Here is a 20,408-nt window from a genome sequence, read left to right as displayed (position 1 = left end):
CACACACAATATCCCCAAAGTGTCACTGTTCAAGTTCCAACATGGGGCTAACTCCGAGGAGCTTGATCCTCCTACTGGGGCTACTGGTGTTAATGGCCATGAGGCCTTGTGAGAGCACATGTTCATGACAGTCCAACTCAAAAAACTACGAGAGTATTAAGTGATGGAGAATTAAACCTTAACTACCGAGCCTCAACTTCTTTAAATGAAAAATGAAACTTTTACCATCTAAGTCACACGTGTGTTTTGAGACGTCCATGATAAAATTTTGAAAAAGCACCCAGTACGCTGGGTGGCACAAACACGCAGCGGGCGAGGGCCCCTACAGCAGCGACAGCCTTAACGGAGAGACCCTCAGCTGTCGTCTCAGTGCCTCCTTCACGGCTGGAAACGGCGAGGACGCTAACATAGCCCTCACTGGGCGGGACGCGACTTAAACGGTTTAACGACCCCGAGCGCTGGGGTCCGTAACGGCGCCGACACACGCGCCCTTACGGACTGGTCGCTTTTAACGAGTGCTATTCACTTTCCGACTGCCCCTCCGCCATGGAGCGTCGCACCGCGTGACCGTCACCAACTCCTCGAACTCTGGGGCACCTCGGCCTTCTCCCGCGCCAACCTGGCGCGAAGACCTGGGACACCGCGCGCACCTGGACCAGCGAACCCAAAACCCCGCCTCCCGCGCTAGACCGCAGCAAAATGTCCGCTCCACGCGCAGGCGCAGCACGTGCGGCCCCCCCTCCACCCCGGCTCAAGACTCACGCCCCCAGGCTCCCGCACCGCCCGCCCCTCCCAGGGTCGCGGCTCAGGATTGGTTCAGGGGTTGCGCGGGCTCTGATTGGGCGAGGCGGAGTCACCAGGGCGCCGTATCTTTACGTGGCCGTCTTCCCCGCGCGCCTTGGATCTGGGGCAATAGCTGAGAGGGCGTCACCAGCGTGTCGGCGCCTGCGGTTTTCTTCGGGCTGTCCCCAGGCGTCGTGCCCGCGTCCGTCACGCGCGGTGGCTTGCAGGGGCGCACCGCGACAGCCTTAAAGGAAAACCTGTTAGGGACAAGGGCTGCTGTGGGCAGCGAGGGTTATAGACTCATGTGTGTTCTGAATTCTGGTGGGGGTAGTGATGGACGCTGACCCAGTTCACAGAATTATCTGACTGGCGAAGTAAAGGTACTTGAATTGCAGGTACTGTTTTTGGCCCTTTGTCCCCTGTATTTTGGCCCAATGTGCTTCCATTTGAGTAGTCTGTAGTGGAACTATATATATATTTTTTAAACAGTTACTTGAAAACACGTGACGGATCAGAATGAGAGGAATAGGAAGGAATTCCTGGGAATTTGTCTTTTTTTTTTTTTTTTTTTTTCTTAAGGAGTTTCCACTTATCGATTGTGGCAAAAGAAGAGGTATGGGAGACCTCACCTACAACATCAAAAATCACCTTTTGTATTTGTTTTTCTGTTCGCTGGTGTGAGTAAAAGATACCAAATGAAAATTAAAAGTTAAGATGAGGCCTAACATAAGTTTATTCCAAATGCCAGTTTACTGTTGGAAATACCAGAGACAAAACGTGCCTGGCTTGGAATGTGTGAAGGCCTTGTCATGTGCCTAATAATAATCTTGTCTATTTTGAGCAGGAAAAAAGGTCAAGGTGAACTGAAGAAAATAAGTCTTTCCCCAAAGGAGGTAGAAGATGGGGAAGATGAGATGTCAGAAGCTAAGGACAATGGCAGTAGAGATGAGGTAATTATATGTACAGAGTTGAGCAGAGTAGAATTTATTATTAATGCCAACAATTAAAATCCAGAGTAAAGCAGTTAAACTGCATTGTTTAATCTCAAAAGTTGGCCGGGCTGGGTGGCCGTCGCCTGTAATCCCAGCACTCTGGGAGGCAGAGGAGGGTGGGTCGCTTAAGCTCAGGAGTTTGAGACCAGCCTGGGCAACATCGTGAAACCCGTCTCTACTAAAAATACAGAAATTAGCCGAACGTGGTGTCTCCCACCTGTAGTCCCAGCCACTCGGGAGGCTGAGGCAGGAGAATTGCTTGAACCCGGGAGGCGGAGGTTGTAGTGAGCGTGCCACTGCACTGCAGCCTGGGAGACAGAGTCGGTCTCAAAGCAAAAAAACAAAAACAAAAACAAAAAACACAAACCTCAAAAGTGCTATTGCAAACACTTTTCAACTAGTATTACAAGTCCACACTAAACTGGATACCAAAACCTGACCAGGTCATTTTGAGAAATCACAGACCACTCTCTCTTTAATGAGCATAGATACAAAAATTCCAGAAATATTAGCAAATTGAATATCAATGTTATGCAAAGAGTAATACATCATAATGTATCGTGACCAAGTGTGGGTTATTTTGGGAATGCCAAGGTGTTCTTTGTTTGTAAAGTGATACTGGTTTTCTGGTAATACTGGTTTAAATCTCTTCATTCTTTAAATTGATTCATTAAAATCCATTCATTTATGGCCCAGGAGGGCGGTGCTTTCCCTCAGCCCTGCCTGGCTGTTTTAAATTAAAAAATAAAAAAGAAAAAAAAAGTCTATTACTTTGTGTACCTGCCAAACATGTTTTCATATTTCTTCTTTTGACATAGTCCTCACTATGTTCTTCTGAGAGTCTCTCCTTTGGAATTTGAAAATAGATAGGTTTAAGTTGAGTCCTGAAAGAATTAAGGTGGGTTAGTGGGTACACAGCTAATGAATATGGAATGTTTCACATGTGCAGCCATTGTACAAGGGCTTTATGCCAGGGGTCCCCAAGCCCTGGGCCACAGACTGGTCTATGGCCTGTTATGAACCAGGCCGCACAGCAGGAGGTGAGTGGTGGGCAAGTGAGGGAAGCTTCATCTGAATTTACAGCTGCCTCCCCATTGCTTGCATTACTGCCTGAGCTCCGCCTCCTGTCAGATCAGCTGCAGCAATAGCGTCTCATAGGAACACAGACCCTATTGTGAACTGCGCATGTGAGGAATCTAGGTTGTACGCTCCTTATGAGAATCTAATGCCTGATGATTTGTCACTGTCTCCCATCACCCCCAGATGGGACTGTCTAGTTGCAGGAAAACAAGCTCAGGGCACCCACTGATTCTACATTATGTTGAGTTGTATTTCATTATATATTACAATGTAATAACAGAAATAAAGTGCACAATCAATGTAATGTACTTGAATCATCCCTCTCCCCTCCCACCGGATGCATGAAAAATTGTCATCCACAAAACCGGTCCCTGGTGCCAAAAAGGTTTGGGACCACTGCTTTATACATTGGTTCATTTCATCCTCACTGTGACCGGGTTAGGTAGGCATCATATAGCTCCATTTTTTAGACAAGAAAGTGTGCTCGCTTCGGCAGCACATATACTAAAATTAGACAAGAAAGCAGATTTAGCCATTAACCAGCTTGCTCATGTTTCCAGAACTAGTAAGTGACAGCCAGGGTTATACATAGGTCTGCTGAATCCAAACCCCCTATACCTTCCCCATTCATTTCTCAGTCTTCTCCTAAGCAGCTTGTTCTGAGAGGCAGATAGCATTTATTTGTTGTCCATTTTGAGCAGCTGGTTGTGTGATAGAAACTTTCTTCAACCCTCTTCAGTCTAATTGTTTTAATTAATCAAATGTAAAAGTGGGTTTTGGGTGCCCTTGTCACACACACTTATTAGGGATGATGGACTTGTTAATTTACTTGACTGTAGTAACCATTTTGCCATAAGTATATTAAAACAGTTATACACTTTATACAATTTTTTAAAAAGTAAAAGTAGGGAAATCATGAAAATTATCCATCCATACCTTTTGATTTTAATTTAAGACATTATGTATTCTTTTGGCAATATTTTGATACAGGACCAAGGCCTTATCTTTGAGTCCACTGCTGGAGTAGCTTATCTTCCCTGCATAAAATACACACATAATGCATCTTCTGCAATTTAAAGTTTGTTTCTTTAAAGCAAAGGAAAACTCTAACATCCTAGTAAGTAAAGCAGTTTGAATACAGATTCCCACAGTTTTACAGCTTTTCCCATTCTTTTATGGTTGCTCATGCACCCTTAACTTGATTGCAGTTTTTTAAGCTTTATCAAGTACCTCCAAAGCACTGAAGTTTGTTTTCATAGACTCAATAACTTTTTGCACTTATTTTATTTTATTTTTTGAGATGGAGTCTCACTTTTGTTGCCCAGGCTTGAGTGCAATGGCTCAGTCTTGGCTCACTGCAACTTCCAGCTCCTGAGTTCAGGTAATTCTTTTGCCTCACCCTCCCAAGTAGCTGGGATTACAGGCATGTGCCACCACGCCCGGCTAATTTTTTATTTTTAGTAGAGATGGGGTTTCATCATGTTGGTCAATCTGGTCTCGAACTCCTCACCTCATGTGATCTGCCCGCCTCGGCCTCCCAAAGTGTTGGGATTATAGGTGTGAGCCACTGCACCCCACCCTTTTTGCGTTGATGGTATTGGTTTATGTGATGTTTAGTTAATTTTGCAGTTGAAACTGCAAATACAGGTTAGCAAACAACACAGCGGGTTTTTATTAAAGATACAGTTCAGCTCACAGGCATAGAGACATCACATTAGTAGGAGTACCACAGAGTGGCCCACTCATGCTTGGGATTTCATAAGCATCAAGTTATTATAGTAAGACCTGTTTGGAATTGAGACAGTCATTTAATCCAGCCAGTTGGTTACGTTGACATAGATAAGAGAGCATGTACTGTATCGGTTGAGTATCCCTTATTCGAAATGCTTGGGACTGGAAATGTTTTAGACTTCAGATTTTTTGGATTTTGGCATACTTGCAGATACATAAAGAGATATCTTGGGGATGGCACCCAAGTCTAAACACAAAATTCATTTATGTTTCATATATACCTTATATACATAGCCTAAAGGTAGTTTTAGTTTTCCCTCTGGTACACTGAATAAACTGTTTTGCACCTGCATTTTGACACTGACCCGTCACACAGAGTCAGAATTGGGGCTCTAATGACATGAATAATTGATGTATATTCTCCTGGGTCAGTAGCGTCCCTACTTGTAGAAATCTGGATGCTTCCCTGTGGATATTCTGGTTTGTTAGTGCTAAGTGAAGTCTGAGAATTTTTCTTTGTTTTTTTTTTTTTTTGAGATAGAGTCTCACTCTGTCACCCAGGCTGGAGTGCAGTGGTGCGATCTCAGCTCACTGCAACCTCCACCTCCTGGGTTCAAGCAATTCTCATGTCTCATCTGCCCAGGTAGCTGGGACTACAGTGTCCACCACCATACCCGGCCAGTTTTTGTATTTTTTTTTTTAGTAGAGACAGGGTTTCACCATGTTGACCAGGCTGGTCTTGAACTCCTGGCCTCAGGTGATCTGCCCACCTTGGCCTCCCAAAGTGTTGGGATTACAGACATGAGCCACCATGCCCAGCATTCTGTTTTTTAATTTTCTTTCTTGAGACAGAATTTCACTCTTGTTGTCCAGGCTGGAGTGCAATGGCATGATCTCGGCTCACCACAACCTCCGCCTCCTGGGTGCAAGCAATTCCCCTGCCTCAGCCTCCTGAGTAGATAGGATTACAGGCATGCGCCACCACGCCCAGCTAATTTTGTATTTTTAGTAGAGACGGGGTTTCTCTATGTTGGTCAGGCTGGTCTCAAACTCTCGACCTCAGGTGATCCACCCACCTCCACCTCCCAAAGTGTTGGGATTATAGGCGTGAGCCACCGGGCCTGGCCTTGTTTTTTTTCTTTAGACAAGCATGTCAGGTGATTCTGGTGCTGGAAGCTTTTTACTACATTTCTCTAGGAGAAATTCATCCTAGAGAGTTGAAATAGTTGTTGACTTACATGCACGACCCGAATCTTGCACTTAGTGACTGTGCAGTGTGATGGTAGCTTCATGAAGAGGCATCTTTTCATTGTTGCTGTTTCTCCTCCAGGTTCTTGTCCCTCATAAGAATTGCAGGAAGAATACCACTGTCCCGGGAAAGAAAGGGGAGGAAAAGTCTCTGGCTCCTGTGTTTGCTGAGAAGTTAATATCACCAAGCAGGAGGGGAGCCAAGCTCAAGGACCGTGAGAGCCACCAGGAGAATGAAGACAGGAACAGTGAGTTGGACCAGGATGAGGAAGATAAAGAATCCTTCTGTAGGGGGTTCCCGATGAGTGGCTGTGAGTTAGAGACAAGCTGCTGTGTGTGCCATTCTACAGCACTTGGGGAGAGGTTCTGTTAAAAATCCATCCCTCTGAAAACTGCCTTGGCAATTCCCGGCTGATTCTTCGGGATGGGCCTCATTGATGGGGAGTCTCAGTGGATGTTTGACTTTTGCTTTCTACCTGACCCTAGTCAGAGATTTTTTCTTTTTCCTTTTTTTTTTTTTTTTTTTTCTGAGACAGAGTCTTGCTCTGTCACCCAGGTTGGAGTGCATTGGTGTGGTCTTGGCTCACTGCAGCCTCTGCCTCCTGAGTAGCTGGGACTACAGGCGCACACCACCACACTGGCTAATTTTTGTATTTTTAGTAGAGATGGGGTTTCGCCATGTTGGCCAGGCCATCTTGAACTCCTGACCTGAAGTGACCTTCCCACCTTGGCCCCCCAAAGTGCTGGGATTACAGGCATGAGCCACCATGCCTAGCCCAGAAATTTTCTCTTTGAATACTATACATTGATGAGTTCTGTCTTTATGCTTATGATCCACGCAGGTAGGTCGTCTCAGATTTAATTTTCAGTGGTTTTTTTCTGTCTTGATGGAGTCTGTGTAACATTTAAAATATTGCTACCAAAGCAGTAATTCTTACTATAGTTATTAAAATGCAAGAACAATATATTTAAAATTATTTCATAATAAAGTTAAAATGAGGCTGGGTGTTGTGGCTCATACCCTGTAATCCCAGCACTTTGGGAGGCTGAAGCAGGAGAATCGCTTGAGGCCAGGAGTTCAAGACCAGCTTGGGCAACAGGGCGAGACCCTATCTCTACAAGAAATTAATAAATTAGCCAGGTATGTGGGCATGGTGGCTCACACCTGTAATCCCAGCACTCTGGGAGGCTGAGGTGGGCGGATCACGAGGTCAGGAGTTCAAGACCAGCCTGGCCAATGTGGCGAAACCCCTCTCTACTAAAAATACAAAAATTAGCTGGGCATGGTGGTGCGTGCCTGTAATCCCAGCTACTTGGGAGGCTGAGGCAGGAGAATCGCTTGAACCCAGGAGGTGGAGGTTGCAGTGAGCCGAGACTGCACCACTGCACTCCAGCCTGGCAACAGAGTGAGACTCCGCCTCAAAAATAAATAAATAAATAAATAATAAATTAGCCAGGTATGGTGGCACACACCTGTAATCCCAGCTACTAGGTAGGCCGAGGTGAGAGGATGGATTGAGCCAGGGAGATCAAGGCCTCAGTGAGTCGTAGTCTCACCACTGCATTCCAGCCTGTGCAACATAAGTGAGACCCTATCTCAAAATAAAATAAAAGTTAAAGTGGCTGTGAATTTTTTTCTTAGATATTTGTATACAGCCAGATATAAAAGAACAATTGTTCTCTGAGAGGAGAATTTGTCATTCTTAACTAGTCTATGTAATAATTGATTAGGTGGCTTCCCTTGCGATTCTAGGGGTGGGGGAAAAGATAAAGCTGGGATGAAAGTTAGAGAAGACCTTCCCATGAGGGCTGAAGATGATGAACAGGATGACGACAGTGGCAGTGGCAAAGGCAGTGAGGAAGAGGAGGAGGGGGAAGGTCGGATGATCTGAATCAGCCCTGTTAAGCAGTATGGCTGGCATCATGGAATGCTAGTTGTAAGTGAAGCCCATCAGAAGGGGCTGTTGTATTTATTTTATTAATTTTAATAACTTTCTTATTAATGTAGAAATGCTTTTAAAAGTACCCTGACCAGACTCAACTCATGAGTCTTGTGACAATTAAGTGTAGCTTAGGAATGATGTTTGTGGATAGCATAAAAGTTTCCAGTTTACTCATTAGTGGCCCAAGCAGTTGATTACAAATGCAATATTCTGGCTTTCACCCACAGAACCTATCAAAGAAACACCTGATAAACAAAAGAAGGAAATGGCCAATCAGAAAGAGTCCCCTGGAGCCAAAAAGCAGAAATTAGAAGGTAACAGGCCGGGCACGGTGGCTTACGCCTGTAATTCCAGCACTTTGGGAGGCCGAGGCGGGCGGATCACGAGGTCAGGAGATCAAGACCATCCTGGCTAACACAGTGAAACCCTGTCTCTACTAAAAGTACAAAAAATTAGCCGGGCGTGGTGGCGGGTGCCTGTAGCCTCAGCTACTCGGGAGGCTGAGGCAGGGGAATGGCGTGAACCCAGGAGGTGGAGCTTGCAGTGAGCCGAGATTGCGCCACTGCACTCCAGCCTGGGCAACAGTGCCAGACTCTGTCTCAAAAAAAAAAAAAGAAAAAGAAAAAGAAAAGAAATTAGAAGGTAGCGTGTTGGCCGTGGTTTAAGGCACAGGAGATGCATGGAGAATGTCACATTGGCAAAAACTTAGTCTCCATTAGCCCAAATGAGCAACAATGGGATTTGCTACAGAAGCTTGGTGTTACAATTTTCAGTGGATTTTCTTTTAGTGCTACTTTTTCTGAACTGAGTTCTTTTTTTTTTTTTTTACCTTTTTGTGTAGCAACTGAACCACGTGTAGCATTCCAACTGTTTGTTGGAAACCTGAATTTCAGCAAAACTGCTGCTGAACTAAAAGTTGGCCTCAGTGAATTTTTTGCTAAAAATGATCTTGAAGTTGTTGGTGTCAAAGTTGGCTTGTCCAGGTAAATACCAATCAACTAAGAAGGTTTTTAAGAGCATATCAGCCCAGCACTTACTATTCCTGGAGAATTTAGATGTTCCAGTAGCTTTGTAGTACTTCATGATGGTTCATAGGCTGCTGTCTTCTCAGGTCCTTTTGTTACCTGCTCTTCACCCTTTGGTGGGATTTTACCTCAGTCACTCGCAGTTTAAAATGAATATGTAAAATCCTTCAGTGGCTCATGTTTAGTAAATCTGTTATATTAAACTTTGCTACCCCATTTTCCCAACCAAAATATTAAAATAATCCCAAGATCTTCCAAGTCTTAGAGACAGGGTCTTGCTATTTTACTCAGGCTGGTCTCAAACTCCTGGGCTCAAGTGATCCTTCCACCTCAGCTTCCCAAAGTGCTGGGATTACAGGTGTGAGCCACTGTGCCCTGCCTATTTCTTAAAAATTAAAAAAAAAAATTTTTTTTTTTGAGACAGTCTCCGTCTGTCGCTCAGGCTAGAGTGCAGTGGTGCGATCTCACTGTGGCCTGCCTGTTTCTTAAAAATTCCAAAAAAAAATTTTTTTGAGACAGTCTCCCTCTGTCGCTAGAGTGCAGTGGCGCGATCTCAGCTTACTGTAGTCTCTACCTTCCAGGTTCAAGCAATTCTCCTGCCTCAGCCTCCCGAGTAGCTAAGATTACAAGCGCCTGCCACCATGCCCAGCTAATTTTTGTATTTTTAGTAGAGACGGGGTTTTGCCATGTTGCGCAGACTGGTCCTGAACTCCTGGTCTCAAGTGATCCGTCAGTCTCAGCCTCCCAGAGTGCTGGGATTACAGGTGTGAACCCCTGCACCGAGCCAAAAATAAATACATAAATAAATAACTTTTTTTGAAACAGGGTCTCACTCCGTTGCCCAGGCTGGAGTGCAGTGGTGTGATCATGGCTCACTGCAACCTCTGCCACCTGGACTCAAACAATCCTCCCACCTCAGCCTCCTGAATAGCTGGGACTACAGGCACACATCACCATGCCTTTTTTGTACATGAGGTTTCGCCATGTTGCCCAGGCTGATCTCAAACTCCTGAGCTCAAGTAATCCTCCCACCTCAGCCTCCCAAAGTGCCGGGATTACAGGTGTGAACCATTGCGCCCAGCCAAAATTTGTAATTTCAAGCCACACTTTCTATAGCTCTTGGTTAAATTTTGTCAGTTGTTAAGCAGAAAACCAATAGAGATGTCAATAGGCAAACTCTGCACTGATTCTCAGTCCTTGCTCTAGAACGAGGTCTCTTGACTTCAGCATTACTGACATTCTGGGCTGGACAATTTTTTTTTGGAGACAGGGCCTCTGGCTCTTTCATCCAGGCTGGAATGCAATGGTGCGATCTCGGCTCACTGCAACCCCTGCCCTCCAGCTCAAGCCATCTTCCCACGTCAGCCTCCTGACTAGCTGGGACCACAGGCATGTACCACTATGCCTGGCTAATTTTTGTGTGTGTGTATTTTCTGTAGAGACAGGAAATACATGTTGACCAGGCTGGTCTCAAACTCCTGAGCTCAAGCAGTCTGCATGCCTTGGCCTCGCAAAGTGCTGGGATTGCAGGCATGAGCCACTGCACCGGGTCTGGGCTGGGCAGTTCTATGTTATGGTGGCTGTCCAGTTCATTGTGGGATGTTTAGCAACCTCCCTGGATTCTACCCATTAGACACTAGATGATTCCCTGTTTGTAACAGCCAAAAATGTCTCTAGAGATTGTCAAGCTTGCCCCCTGGGTAAGAACTAGTTCTCCATAGTTACTTCATAGTACTGACTGCCAGTTTGTGGAGCCTTGCTTTTAAACTGTAAATTAGGCAGCTGCTCGTGACTTAGTGCTAATTTCTATTCCAACAGCTAGCGTGATTAGCTAACCAGAGGCATATGCTTTTCATCTTACCTGTGTGTGCTTTTTCCCTTTTCTTCTACATCTCTGTAGGAGATTTGGTTATGTGAATTTTTTTTTTTTTTTTTGAGACAGTCTTGCTCTGTCGCCCAAGCTGGAGTGCAGTGGTGCGATCTTGGCTCACTGCAAGCTCCGCCTCCCAGGTTCCCGCCATTCTCCTGCCTCAGCCTCCCAAGTAGCTAGGACTACAGGCGCCCACCACCACACCCGGCTAATTTTTTTGTATTTTTTTAGTAGAGACGGGGTTTCACTGTGTTAGCCAGGATGTTCTCGATCTCCTGACCTCGTGATCCACCTACCTCAGCCTCCCAAAGTGCTGGGATTACAGGCGTGAGCCACCGCGCCCGGCTGGTTATGTGAATTTTAAATCTGCTGATCAAGAAAAAGCCTTGGAACTAAGTGATACAAAAGTCCTTGGGTATGAAATTAAAGAAACCAAAGGGAAAGGAAACAAAGGTATGCAAACAAGGTAATTTGTTCAAAGGTATCCATGTGTCTAGAAGATTCTGGGTCAGGCAGGAATATCACATTCTTTCTAATTTGATGCAAGTAGTCCTCAGTTTCCGACAGGCCACCTGCCTCCGTGGCACCTTGCCCTCTCTCCTGTGCTTGAGCTGCATGGCTCACCTTTCTCTGTCATAACATTCTTTCCAGGACTCAGTCTCTGGCTACTTGAAACCCATCCATCCAGTTTTAGCTTAAATATCACTTCCTCAGATCAGAAAACTCTTTCCTTACCCCCACACTAGGGTAAACTTCTCTACTAGACTTCCTCATTGCCCCTTTTACTTGTCCATCCTGGCACTTATCGAAGTTTATAACTACATGACCCTCATTTACCAGTCTTCTCCAACAAGAACACATTCCTGAGAGCAGAGGCCAAGTTCGTGTTTTCACAGCGAGCATGTAGCACAGGCCCTACCCCAGAGTATGTGTTCAAATATTTGTTAAACTAATGAAGATGTATTGTTTCCACTTTGCAACTCTTTGAGGGGTATTTTTTCTTTTTTCTTTTTTTTTTAAAACAGAGTCTCGTTCTGTCGCCCAGGCTGGAGTGCAGTGGTGCGATCTTGGCTCACTGCAACCTCCACCTCCCGTGTTCAAGCCATTCTCCTGCCTCAGCCTCCCGAGTAGCTGGGATTACAGGCACGTGCTACCACACTCGGCTAATTTTTTGTATTTTTAGTAGAGACGGGGTTTCACTGTGTTAGCCAGGATGGTCTTCATCTCCTGACCTCGTGATCTGCCCACCTCGGCCTCCCAAGGTGCTGGGATTATAGGCATGAGCCACTGCGCCCCACCCGAGGGGTATTTTTTCTATCTTAGGGGACTTTTGATGCTTACTAAATCTAAACTCACCAAAAATATTCTTTTGTTTTTATGTAGATCAAAATGCCAAAACACTTTTGATCAAGAACCTGCCTGACAAAGTCACTCCACATGAATTAAAAGAAGTGTTTGAGGATGCTTTTCAAATCAGATTAGTGAGCAAAGATGGGATGAGTAAAAAGTATGTTTTGCACCTCGTACTGAATAAGAATGTATGTCTACTGGATACAAACATAATGGAATTTCCTTACATTCTCTCAAATCTTTTATGCCTGATTTTAGAGAAGGAAAGAGTAGTTATCCAGATTTCTGCCAGTAGGCATAAAAAGCCAAAGGGGACATCATAAAGGGACAGCCAAAACTCCTAGAAAACTGTAGTGGTGCTATAGAGAAATAGAGACTTCATCTGCTACCAAGTACAAGATTGAAGATTGGAATTTATTCATAGATTATGTACATTCTGTCTTCTCTCTCCAGGGCTGACTCCACTAGAATAATGTACTTAGTAACTTGCTTGGACAGGTACCAAAATAGCACATAGAATTGAATTGTTAGGTTTATGTTGTAACCAATTAATGAAACACTGTCCTTAGATATCTAGGCTTTGGTAGAGTAAGAGAGTGAATATGGTGAAATTAGAGAGGGTGGAGTATAATATATTTTGAAGGGATTGTCATTGAGGTGAAAATTGAGTATTGGGTTTACAGATACATTTGAGCTAAATATGTTGGTGTAGGTGAACTCTAAAATAATCTGTAGCAGTATGTTCTGATGAACATAATCTCTAGAAAGAATACTACAGATCTTCAAGCATAAGATAGAACTGTATGTATTGACCTGGAAAGCCATGATAAATATGAGGAAACAAATCTGAAAGAATAAATTCCAAATTGTTAGCAGTGTTTACTAGGAGGAGATTTGGGAGCACTCTGCCTATAGTCTCCAGAAAACCAGCAAACAAGTTCCTGCCAAAAGCTATATAATTTCTCGAAGTTTAATTAGGTTTTAATTAAATATACTTAAATCTTTGTAATCATTTCTCTACCTGAAGAATTACTGTATCACTTCTCAGCCTTTTGGCTAAGATCAAGTGTAGTATCTGTTTTTTCAGTTTAATATCTGATATGTCCTAAATTAAAAATAATAAAAAATAAATAAAGGGGAGATAAGAGAAACCAGAGACTCCATGGCCATGTGAAATAAAGCATAGTACCTATGCCAGAAAAGAGTGTGGTGCAGGCTGGGCATGGTGGCTCATGCCTGTAATCCCAGCACTTTGGGAAGCTGAGGCTGGCGGATCATGAGGTCAGGAGATTGAGACCATCCTGGCCAACATGGTGAAACCCCGTCTGTACTAAAATACAAAAAATTAGCTGGGCGTTGTGGCACGCTCCTGTAGTCCCAGCTACTCGGGAGGCTGAGGTAGGGGAATTGCTTGAACCCGGGAGGCAGAGGTTGCAGTGAGCCAAGATTGGGCCACTGCACTCCAGTCTGGTGACAGAATGGGACTCCATCTCAAAAACAAAACAAAACAAAAACAACAACAGAATGTGGTGCATTATGTTTAAGAATCTGACTCAGACCAGGCACGGTGGCTCATGCCTATAATCCCAGCACTTTGGGAGGCCGAGGCGGGGGGATCACCTGAGCTCAGAAGTTTGAGACCAGCCTGGCCAACGTGGTAAAACTCCGTCTCTATTAAAAATACAGAAGATTAGCCAGTCATGGTGGTACACACCTGTAATCCCAGCTACTCAGGAGGCTGAGACAGGAGAATCATTTCAAGCCAGGAGGTAGAGGTTGCAGCGAGCAGAGATCGTGCCACTTCACTCCAGCCTGGGCAATGAGCAAAACTCTGTCTCAAGAAGAAAGAATCTGACTCGATATGTCCTTATTCATACCTTTCACCAAATTAAATTACAGGTTCATTAGAGATTTCATGTAAAATATGAAACCATAAAGTATTAGAGGAAGACATAGAGAATATTTTTGGGTTTTATTTGTTTTAATAATCTTCAGGAGAGGAAGGCCTTTTGAAGTATGACACAATCCTGGAAGTCCCAAAAGAAAAGTTATATAAATTTGGCTAGGCACAATGACTCACACCTGTAATTCCAGCACTTTGGGAGGCCGAGGCGGGTGGATCACCTGAGGTTAGGAGTTCCACACCAGCCTGGCCAACATGGTGAAACCCTGTCTCTACTAAAAATACAAAAAAATTAGCTGAGCATGATGGTGGGCGCCTGTAATCCCAGCTACTCGGGAGGCTGAGGCAGGAGAATCGCTTGAACCCAGGAGGTGGAGGTTGCAGTGTGCTGAGATCATGCCATTGCACAACAGCCTGGGTGACAAGAGCGAGGGAAACTCTGTCTCAAAGAAAAAAAAAAAAGATATATAAATTTGACTGCAGAAATATATTTTTACATGGAGGAAAAAAAAATCCCCATAAGCAAAGTCAAAAGACAAGTGACACACCAGGGAAAAATATTGGTAACTCATCAAAACTGAAGACTGGTTTTACTGATATAAAAGTGCACCAGAGGCCAGGTGCAGTGGCTCACGCCTGTAATCCCAGCGCTTTGGGAGGCCGAGGCAGGCGGATCACCTGAAGTCGGGAGTTTGAGACCATCCTGGCTAACATGGTGAAACCCCGTCTCTACTAAAAATAGAAAAAATTAGCCAGGCATGGTGGTATGCGCCTGTAATCCCAGCTACTCAGGAGGCTGAGGCAGAAGAATCGCTTGATCCCGGGAGGCAGAGGTTGTAGTGAGCCGAGATCGCGCCACTGCACTCCAGCCTGGGCGACAAAGCAAGACTGCCTCTCAAAAAAAAGTGCACCAGGCCAGGCATGGTGGCTCACGCCTGTAATCCCAGCACTTTGGGAGGCTGAGGCAGGTGGATCACCTGAGGTCAGGAGTTCGAGACCAGCCTGGTCAACATGGTAAAACCCTGTCTCTACTAAAAATACAAAAAATTAGCCAGGCATGGTGGCAGGCACCTGTAGTCCCAGCTACTTGGGAGGCTGAGGCACGAGAATCACTTGAACCCGGGAGGCGGAGGTTAGTGAGCCGAGATTGCACCATTGCACTCCAACCTGAGCAACAAGAGTGAAACTCCATCTTAAAAAATAATAATAAATAAAAATAAAGCATGTCCCCACGATGAAACCTTCTGAAGGCCAGGTGTGGTGGCTCACGCCTGTAATCCAAGCACTTTGGGAGGCCAAGGTGGGCAGATCACCTAAGGTCAGGAGTTCCAGACCAGCCTGGCCAGCATGGTGAAACCTGTCTCTACTAAAAACAGAAAAAATTAGCCAGGCGTGGTGGCGGGCACCTGTAATCCCAGCTACTCGGGAAGCTGAGGCAGGAGAATCGCTTGAACCTGGGAGGCGGAGGTTGCAGTGAGCCGAGATCGCGCCATTGCACTCCAGCCTGGGCAACAGAGCAAGACTCCGTCTCAAAAATAAATAAATAAATAAAATAAAAGTGCACCTAACAAATGAGTAAGAAAAATACCAACAATTTAGGGGAAATACAGGCAGGCTACAGACAGACAGGAACGGAGTTTTAAGCATAGGAAAAGATACTCATCCTCACTCATAGTAAAACAATTTAAAATAAAATCTACACTGAGATACAACTTTTTACCTATCAAGTAGTCACAGATCGAAAGGTTTGTTAGCACAGTGGAGAAGAGAGTAAAGAAACTGGCATGCTCATAGTTTGTTATTGGAAGTGAAATTGGAGAAATCTCTATGGAGATTAGGTACTTAGCCATAGCTACCAAAGTTACGGTTGCAGTTACCATTTTATCTTGCAGTTCCACTCCTAAGAATTTATCCTACAGATAGTCTCAGACAAGTGTGAAATAATGTATTGCAAAGTTGTTTGATGCAAAATTAGAATTAACCTGAATATCAAGCAACAGGTGGTTAAAATTGTCTGGCAGATCCATAAGATATTTTTCTATATAGCTGTAAAAAGGACTGAAATCGCATTTTGTGTACTGAAGGGAAATAATCTCCAGTATACATTATTAAGTGAAAAAAGACAAAGTGTATATTAAGTGAAAAAAGACAGTGTGTACAGTATTCTGCCTTTTATGTAAAAACATAATGGAGAACACACTGTACACAAAAAATAACATGGATCAAAGACCTAAATGTAAGAGCTAAAACATAAAATCCTTAGAAGAAAACACACTTTGTGCACGACGATTAAAGAAAATTGAGAAGTTGGGCTTAATCAAAATAAAAAATGTTTGTGTTTCAAAGGCCATATTTAAAAAGTCAAAAGAAAATCTGTAGACTGGGCCGGGCGTGGTGGCTCACGCCTGTAATCCCAGCACTTTGGGAGGCCGAGGCGGGCGGATCACGAGGTCAGGAGATCGAGACCATCATGGCTAAGATGGTGAAACCCCGTCTCTACTAAAAATACAAAAAAAGTTAGCCGGGCAAGGTGGTGGGCGCCTGTAGTCCCAGCTACTCGGAAGGCTGAGGCAGGAGAATGGCGTGAACCTGGGAGGCGGAGCTTGCAGTGAGCCGAGATAGTGCCACTGCACTCCAGCCTGGGCGATAGAGCGAGACTCCTCAAAAAAAAAAAAAAAAGAAAAAGAAAATCTATAGACTTGCCGGGCACAGTGGCTCACGCCTGTAATCCCAGCACTTTGGGAGGCCAAAGTGGGTGGATCACCCGAGGTCAGGAGTTAGAGACCAGCCTGGCCAACATGGCAAAACCCCGTCTCTACTAAAAATACAAAATTAGCCAGGCGCGGCGGTGAGCGCCTGTAATCCCAGCTACTTGGGAGACTGAGGCAGGAGAATCGCTTGAACCTGGGAGGTGGAGATTGCAGTGAGCCGAGATTGTGCCATTGCACTCCAGCCTGGGCAACAAGTGAAACTCCGTCTCAAAAAAAAAGAAAAAAAAAAATCTATAGACTGGAAGAAAATATTTGCAAATCATATATCTGATAAGGGACTTGTGTCCAGATATATAAAGAACTCATATTACAATTCAACAATAAAAAGGCAACCCAATTAAAAAATGGGCAAAGGATTTGAATGGACGTTTCTCCAAACGAGGCATATGAATGGCTGATAAGCATGCAAAAAGATGCTCAACATTAGTTGTTAGGGAAATGCAAATCAAAACCATGATGTGATACACTTCACATTCATTAGAATGGCTAGAATAAAGAAGGCAAACCGTAACAAATGTTGACAAGGATGTGGAAAAGGTGGAGCCCTCATATGTTGCTGGTGGGAATGTAAAATAATGCAGTTGCTTTGGAGAAGTTTGATAGTTTCTCAAAATGTTAAACATAGAATTGCCATATGGTCTAGAAATTCTCTTAAGTATCTACCTCAAAGAAAAGAAAACATATGTTCACACTCTCCTGCAAATGTTCATGTCAGCATTATTTAATAGTCAAAAAGTAGAAATGACCCAAAATGTCTGTCAGTTGATGGATTGATAAAGTATGGTATGTCATTCTGTATATGACATGTCCAGTATAGCCAAATCTATATAAACAGAAACTAGAGCAGTAGTTGCTTGTGGCTTGGAGTGAGAATGGGTTGGGAGGAATGAGGAGTGACTGCCGATGGGTACTTTCGGGGACAATACAAATGTTCCAAAGTTAGTTTACAATGATGATTGTACAGTTGTGTAAACGTATTAGAAACCGTTGTAAAGTTTAAATGGGTGGATTTTATGATATGTAAATTATATCTCAAGCTTTTTAAGAAAAATTGTGTGTGCATATACATTTGCTTTTATATACACAGAATGTTCCCTCTGTGGTTAGAAATTGGGTGGCCTGGAATAGGAATATAAGGAAGACTACACCATATCCTTTTTTTTTTTCCTTTTTCTACATGTTCTAAACCATATCCTTTTCTACTTTTTGGATTTTGAATCTTGTATATTACTGATTCAGAAGACAAATAACTGTCTGTGGCCCTAAATGCTGACTGTTCTTCTCTCCCTCACCTCATCCCCACAATTGCAGGATTGCATATATTGAATTCAAGTCACAAGCTGAGACAGAGAGAGCCTTGGAAGAAAAGCAGGGAACAGAGATTGATGGGCTTGCCGTAGTTCTCGACCATATTGGAGAGAAAAGCCAGGGCCAAGAAACTAGAGATAGAAAGAACAGCACCTGGAGAGGTGAGGGGTCCCAGAGCTCTGAGGATTGAGATTTACCAGGGTTGTCACAGGTGGATCCCAAGGGATCCTCTGGTATGAGGTTAGGGGCACTCGGCACTTTATTTTTTTATTATTATTTTGAGACAGGGTCTCACTCCCTTCGCCCAGGCAGGAGCGCAGTGGCACAATCATGGCTCGCGGCAGTCTCGATTTCCTGGGCTCAGGTGATCCTCCTACCTCAGCCTCCCGAGTAGCCAGACTACAGATGGGAAGGCCACTCAGCACTTTATTTTTTATTTTATTTTATTTTATTTTTATTTATTTATTTTTTTAGAGGGAGTCTCTCTCTGTCGCCCAGGCTGGAGTGCAGTGGCACAGTCTCGGCTCACTGCAACCTCTGCCTCCCAGGTTCAAGCGATTCTCCTGCCTCAGCTTCCCGAGTAGCTGGGATTACAGGTGCCCGCCACCACACCTGGCCGAGATCACACCACTGCACTCCAGCCTGGGTAACAGAGCCAGACCTCTTGTCTCAAAACAAAAAAAAGGAAACCCATCAGTTTATTTTTTCTTTTTTGGGCACCCTCTAGGATTTTGTTTGAACAAGCTCTTATATCTGTGGTTTCAGAATTAGATATTTAATTCTCTTCAGATATTAATTTTCTTCAAGTAGTGTTTTTGCAGGTTTAAACAAGTGACCCCAAACCAGTGTCCCTAATTTGCCTTATCTGATTGGCAAACATGTTGGCTTATTCTGTAAGAGACCATTGAATTTGTTATGAGTATTTCAAAAAATTTCACATAAACCCCTGGATTTCCAGCTTCTTTTGATACAACAGAAAATCTGCCCAGGTGCAGTGGTTCACACTTGTAATCCCAGCACTTTGGGAGGCTGAGGTGGGTGGATCGCTTGAGCCCTGGAGTTCAAGACCAGCGGGGCAACATGGAGAGACCCCATCTGTAAAAAAAAAAAAAAAAAAAAAAAAATTAGCTGGGCGTGGTGTTGCATACCTGTAGTCCTAGCTAACTCAGGAGACTGAGGTAGGAGGATTGCCTGAGCCTGGGAGGTCGAGGCTACAGTGAGCCATGATGGTGCCACTGCACTCCAGCCGAGGGGACAGAGTGAGACCCTGTCTGTCTCAAAGAAAAAGGAAAGAAAATGCAGCCATGGTGGCACCGTGGCTGCATTCCCACATGGCAGCAGTTGGCTGGCGATGAGAAGTAGCTGCTTCCTTTTAGGTGTGGCCTTTGCTCTTGTTTGCTGGTAACCCCCACAGTTCCTGAGGGTCTCCCCACCAACAGCGGTGGGAACAGCACAACACTTGCACTTTTAAACATAGAGTTAGTACTTTTTTCTTAGAAAATAGCCCTTTTTTTTATAGTAAAGATGACATGGCTGGGCATGGTGGCTCATGCCTGTAATCCCAACACTGGGAGGCTGAGGAGGGCAGATGATGAGGTCAGGAGTTCGAAACCAGCCTGGCCGGCATGGTGAAACCCCGTCTCTAACAAAAATTAGCCGGGTATGATGGCACATACCTGTAATCCCAGCTACTCAGGAGGCTGAGGCAGGAGAATTCCTTGAACTCGGGAGGTGGAGGTTGCAGTGAGCCAAGATCGCACCACTGCACTCCAGCCCGGGCGACAGAGCGAAACTCTGTCTTGGGGAAAAAAAAAAAAAAGGATGACATTTTAATATTTCTTATGCATTTGTCTCTTCCACAAGTGGAAAGACAAAGTATAGAACAAGACATCCACACTTTTCAAGAAAAATGGGAGAGAGCCTATTTTTTTTTGTGGAAGTAAAGAATGTTCCTACATGTTGAATATGCAAAGTCTGTCTGTGTTGAAAGAGCATACCCTAAGACACTATTATGAAACAAACCATAGCAAGAACCACGATGGATATACAGAAAAGATGCGTGACAAAAAACTTAACAAACTGAAAAAAAGACTGAGATTTCAACATGACTTGCTTTTGAATGTGAATAAAATAGGTGATGCTGCTATGGAGTGTAGTTATATATTAAGTGAGAAAATTGCCCGGGCATCAAAACCTTTTACAGATGGGGAGTTTATAAAAGAATGCTTGTTGAATGCAGCAGAAATTATGTGCCCTGAACAGAGACAAGCATTTGCAAATATAAGACTAACTGGTAACATTATTGCTCAGCATGTTGATGATATGGCTGAAAACTTACAGGACAGGTTTCAAGAAAAAGTGAAATCATTTGTGGCTTTCTCTATCGCAGCTCATGGGAACACTG

The 20,408-nt window shown here is 44.2% G+C and overlaps 1 long non-coding RNA gene and 1 pseudogene across 5 annotated transcripts, besides 4 other annotated features; both read left to right on the top strand.

Moving 5' to 3' along the window:
- Nucleotides 651–870: a silencer, noted in NCBI's record as "silent region_12429". NCBI's record gives its function as "represses an Ori minimal core promoter by ATAC-STARR-seq in GM12878 lymphoblastoid cells {active_cell/tissue: GM12878}" and the evidence as "EXISTENCE:reporter gene assay evidence [ECO:0000049][PMID:35858748]".
- Nucleotides 651–1,540: a biological region, named in NCBI's record as "H3K27ac-H3K4me1 hESC enhancer GRCh37_chr2:232378431-232379240".
- Nucleotides 731–1,540: an enhancer, noted in NCBI's record as "H3K27ac-H3K4me1 hESC enhancer chr2:232378431-232379240 (GRCh37/hg19 assembly coordinates)". NCBI's record gives its function as "activates a minimal SCP1, AML or CMV promoter by ChIP-STARR-seq in naive H9 embryonic stem cells {active_cell/tissue: H9 hESC(naive)}" and the evidence as "EXISTENCE:reporter gene assay evidence [ECO:0000049][PMID:30033119]".
- LINC00471 (long intergenic non-protein coding RNA 471) lies at nt 883–13,173 on the top strand. 5 transcript variants are annotated; one of them, NR_199860.1, is made up of 6 exons: nt 883–1,178; nt 1,628–1,733; nt 5,917–6,082; nt 8,005–8,091; nt 10,904–11,125; nt 12,056–13,173. It is a non-coding gene; the product is annotated as a long intergenic non-protein coding RNA 471 (long non-coding RNA). The 5 variants fall into 5 exon arrangements; NR_199863.1 differs by lacking the exon at nt 10,904–11,125 and having other exon boundaries at nt 883–1,163; NR_199862.1 differs by lacking the exon at nt 10,904–11,125.
- Nucleotides 981–1,160: an enhancer, noted in NCBI's record as "active region_17290". NCBI's record gives its function as "activates an Ori minimal core promoter by ATAC-STARR-seq in GM12878 lymphoblastoid cells {active_cell/tissue: GM12878}" and the evidence as "EXISTENCE:reporter gene assay evidence [ECO:0000049][PMID:35858748]".
- Nucleotides 13,059–13,270, top strand: RNU2-22P (RNA, U2 small nuclear 22, pseudogene; annotated as a pseudogene).

The sequence above is a fragment of the Homo sapiens genome, chromosome 2 (assembly GCF_000001405.40).
Source record: "Homo sapiens chromosome 2, GRCh38.p14 Primary Assembly".
In the NCBI taxonomy this organism is placed as follows: Eukaryota; Metazoa; Chordata; class Mammalia; order Primates; family Hominidae; genus Homo; species Homo sapiens.
Note: the sequence above shows the minus strand (reverse complement) of the source record. Positions and strands in the feature narration are given on the sequence as shown.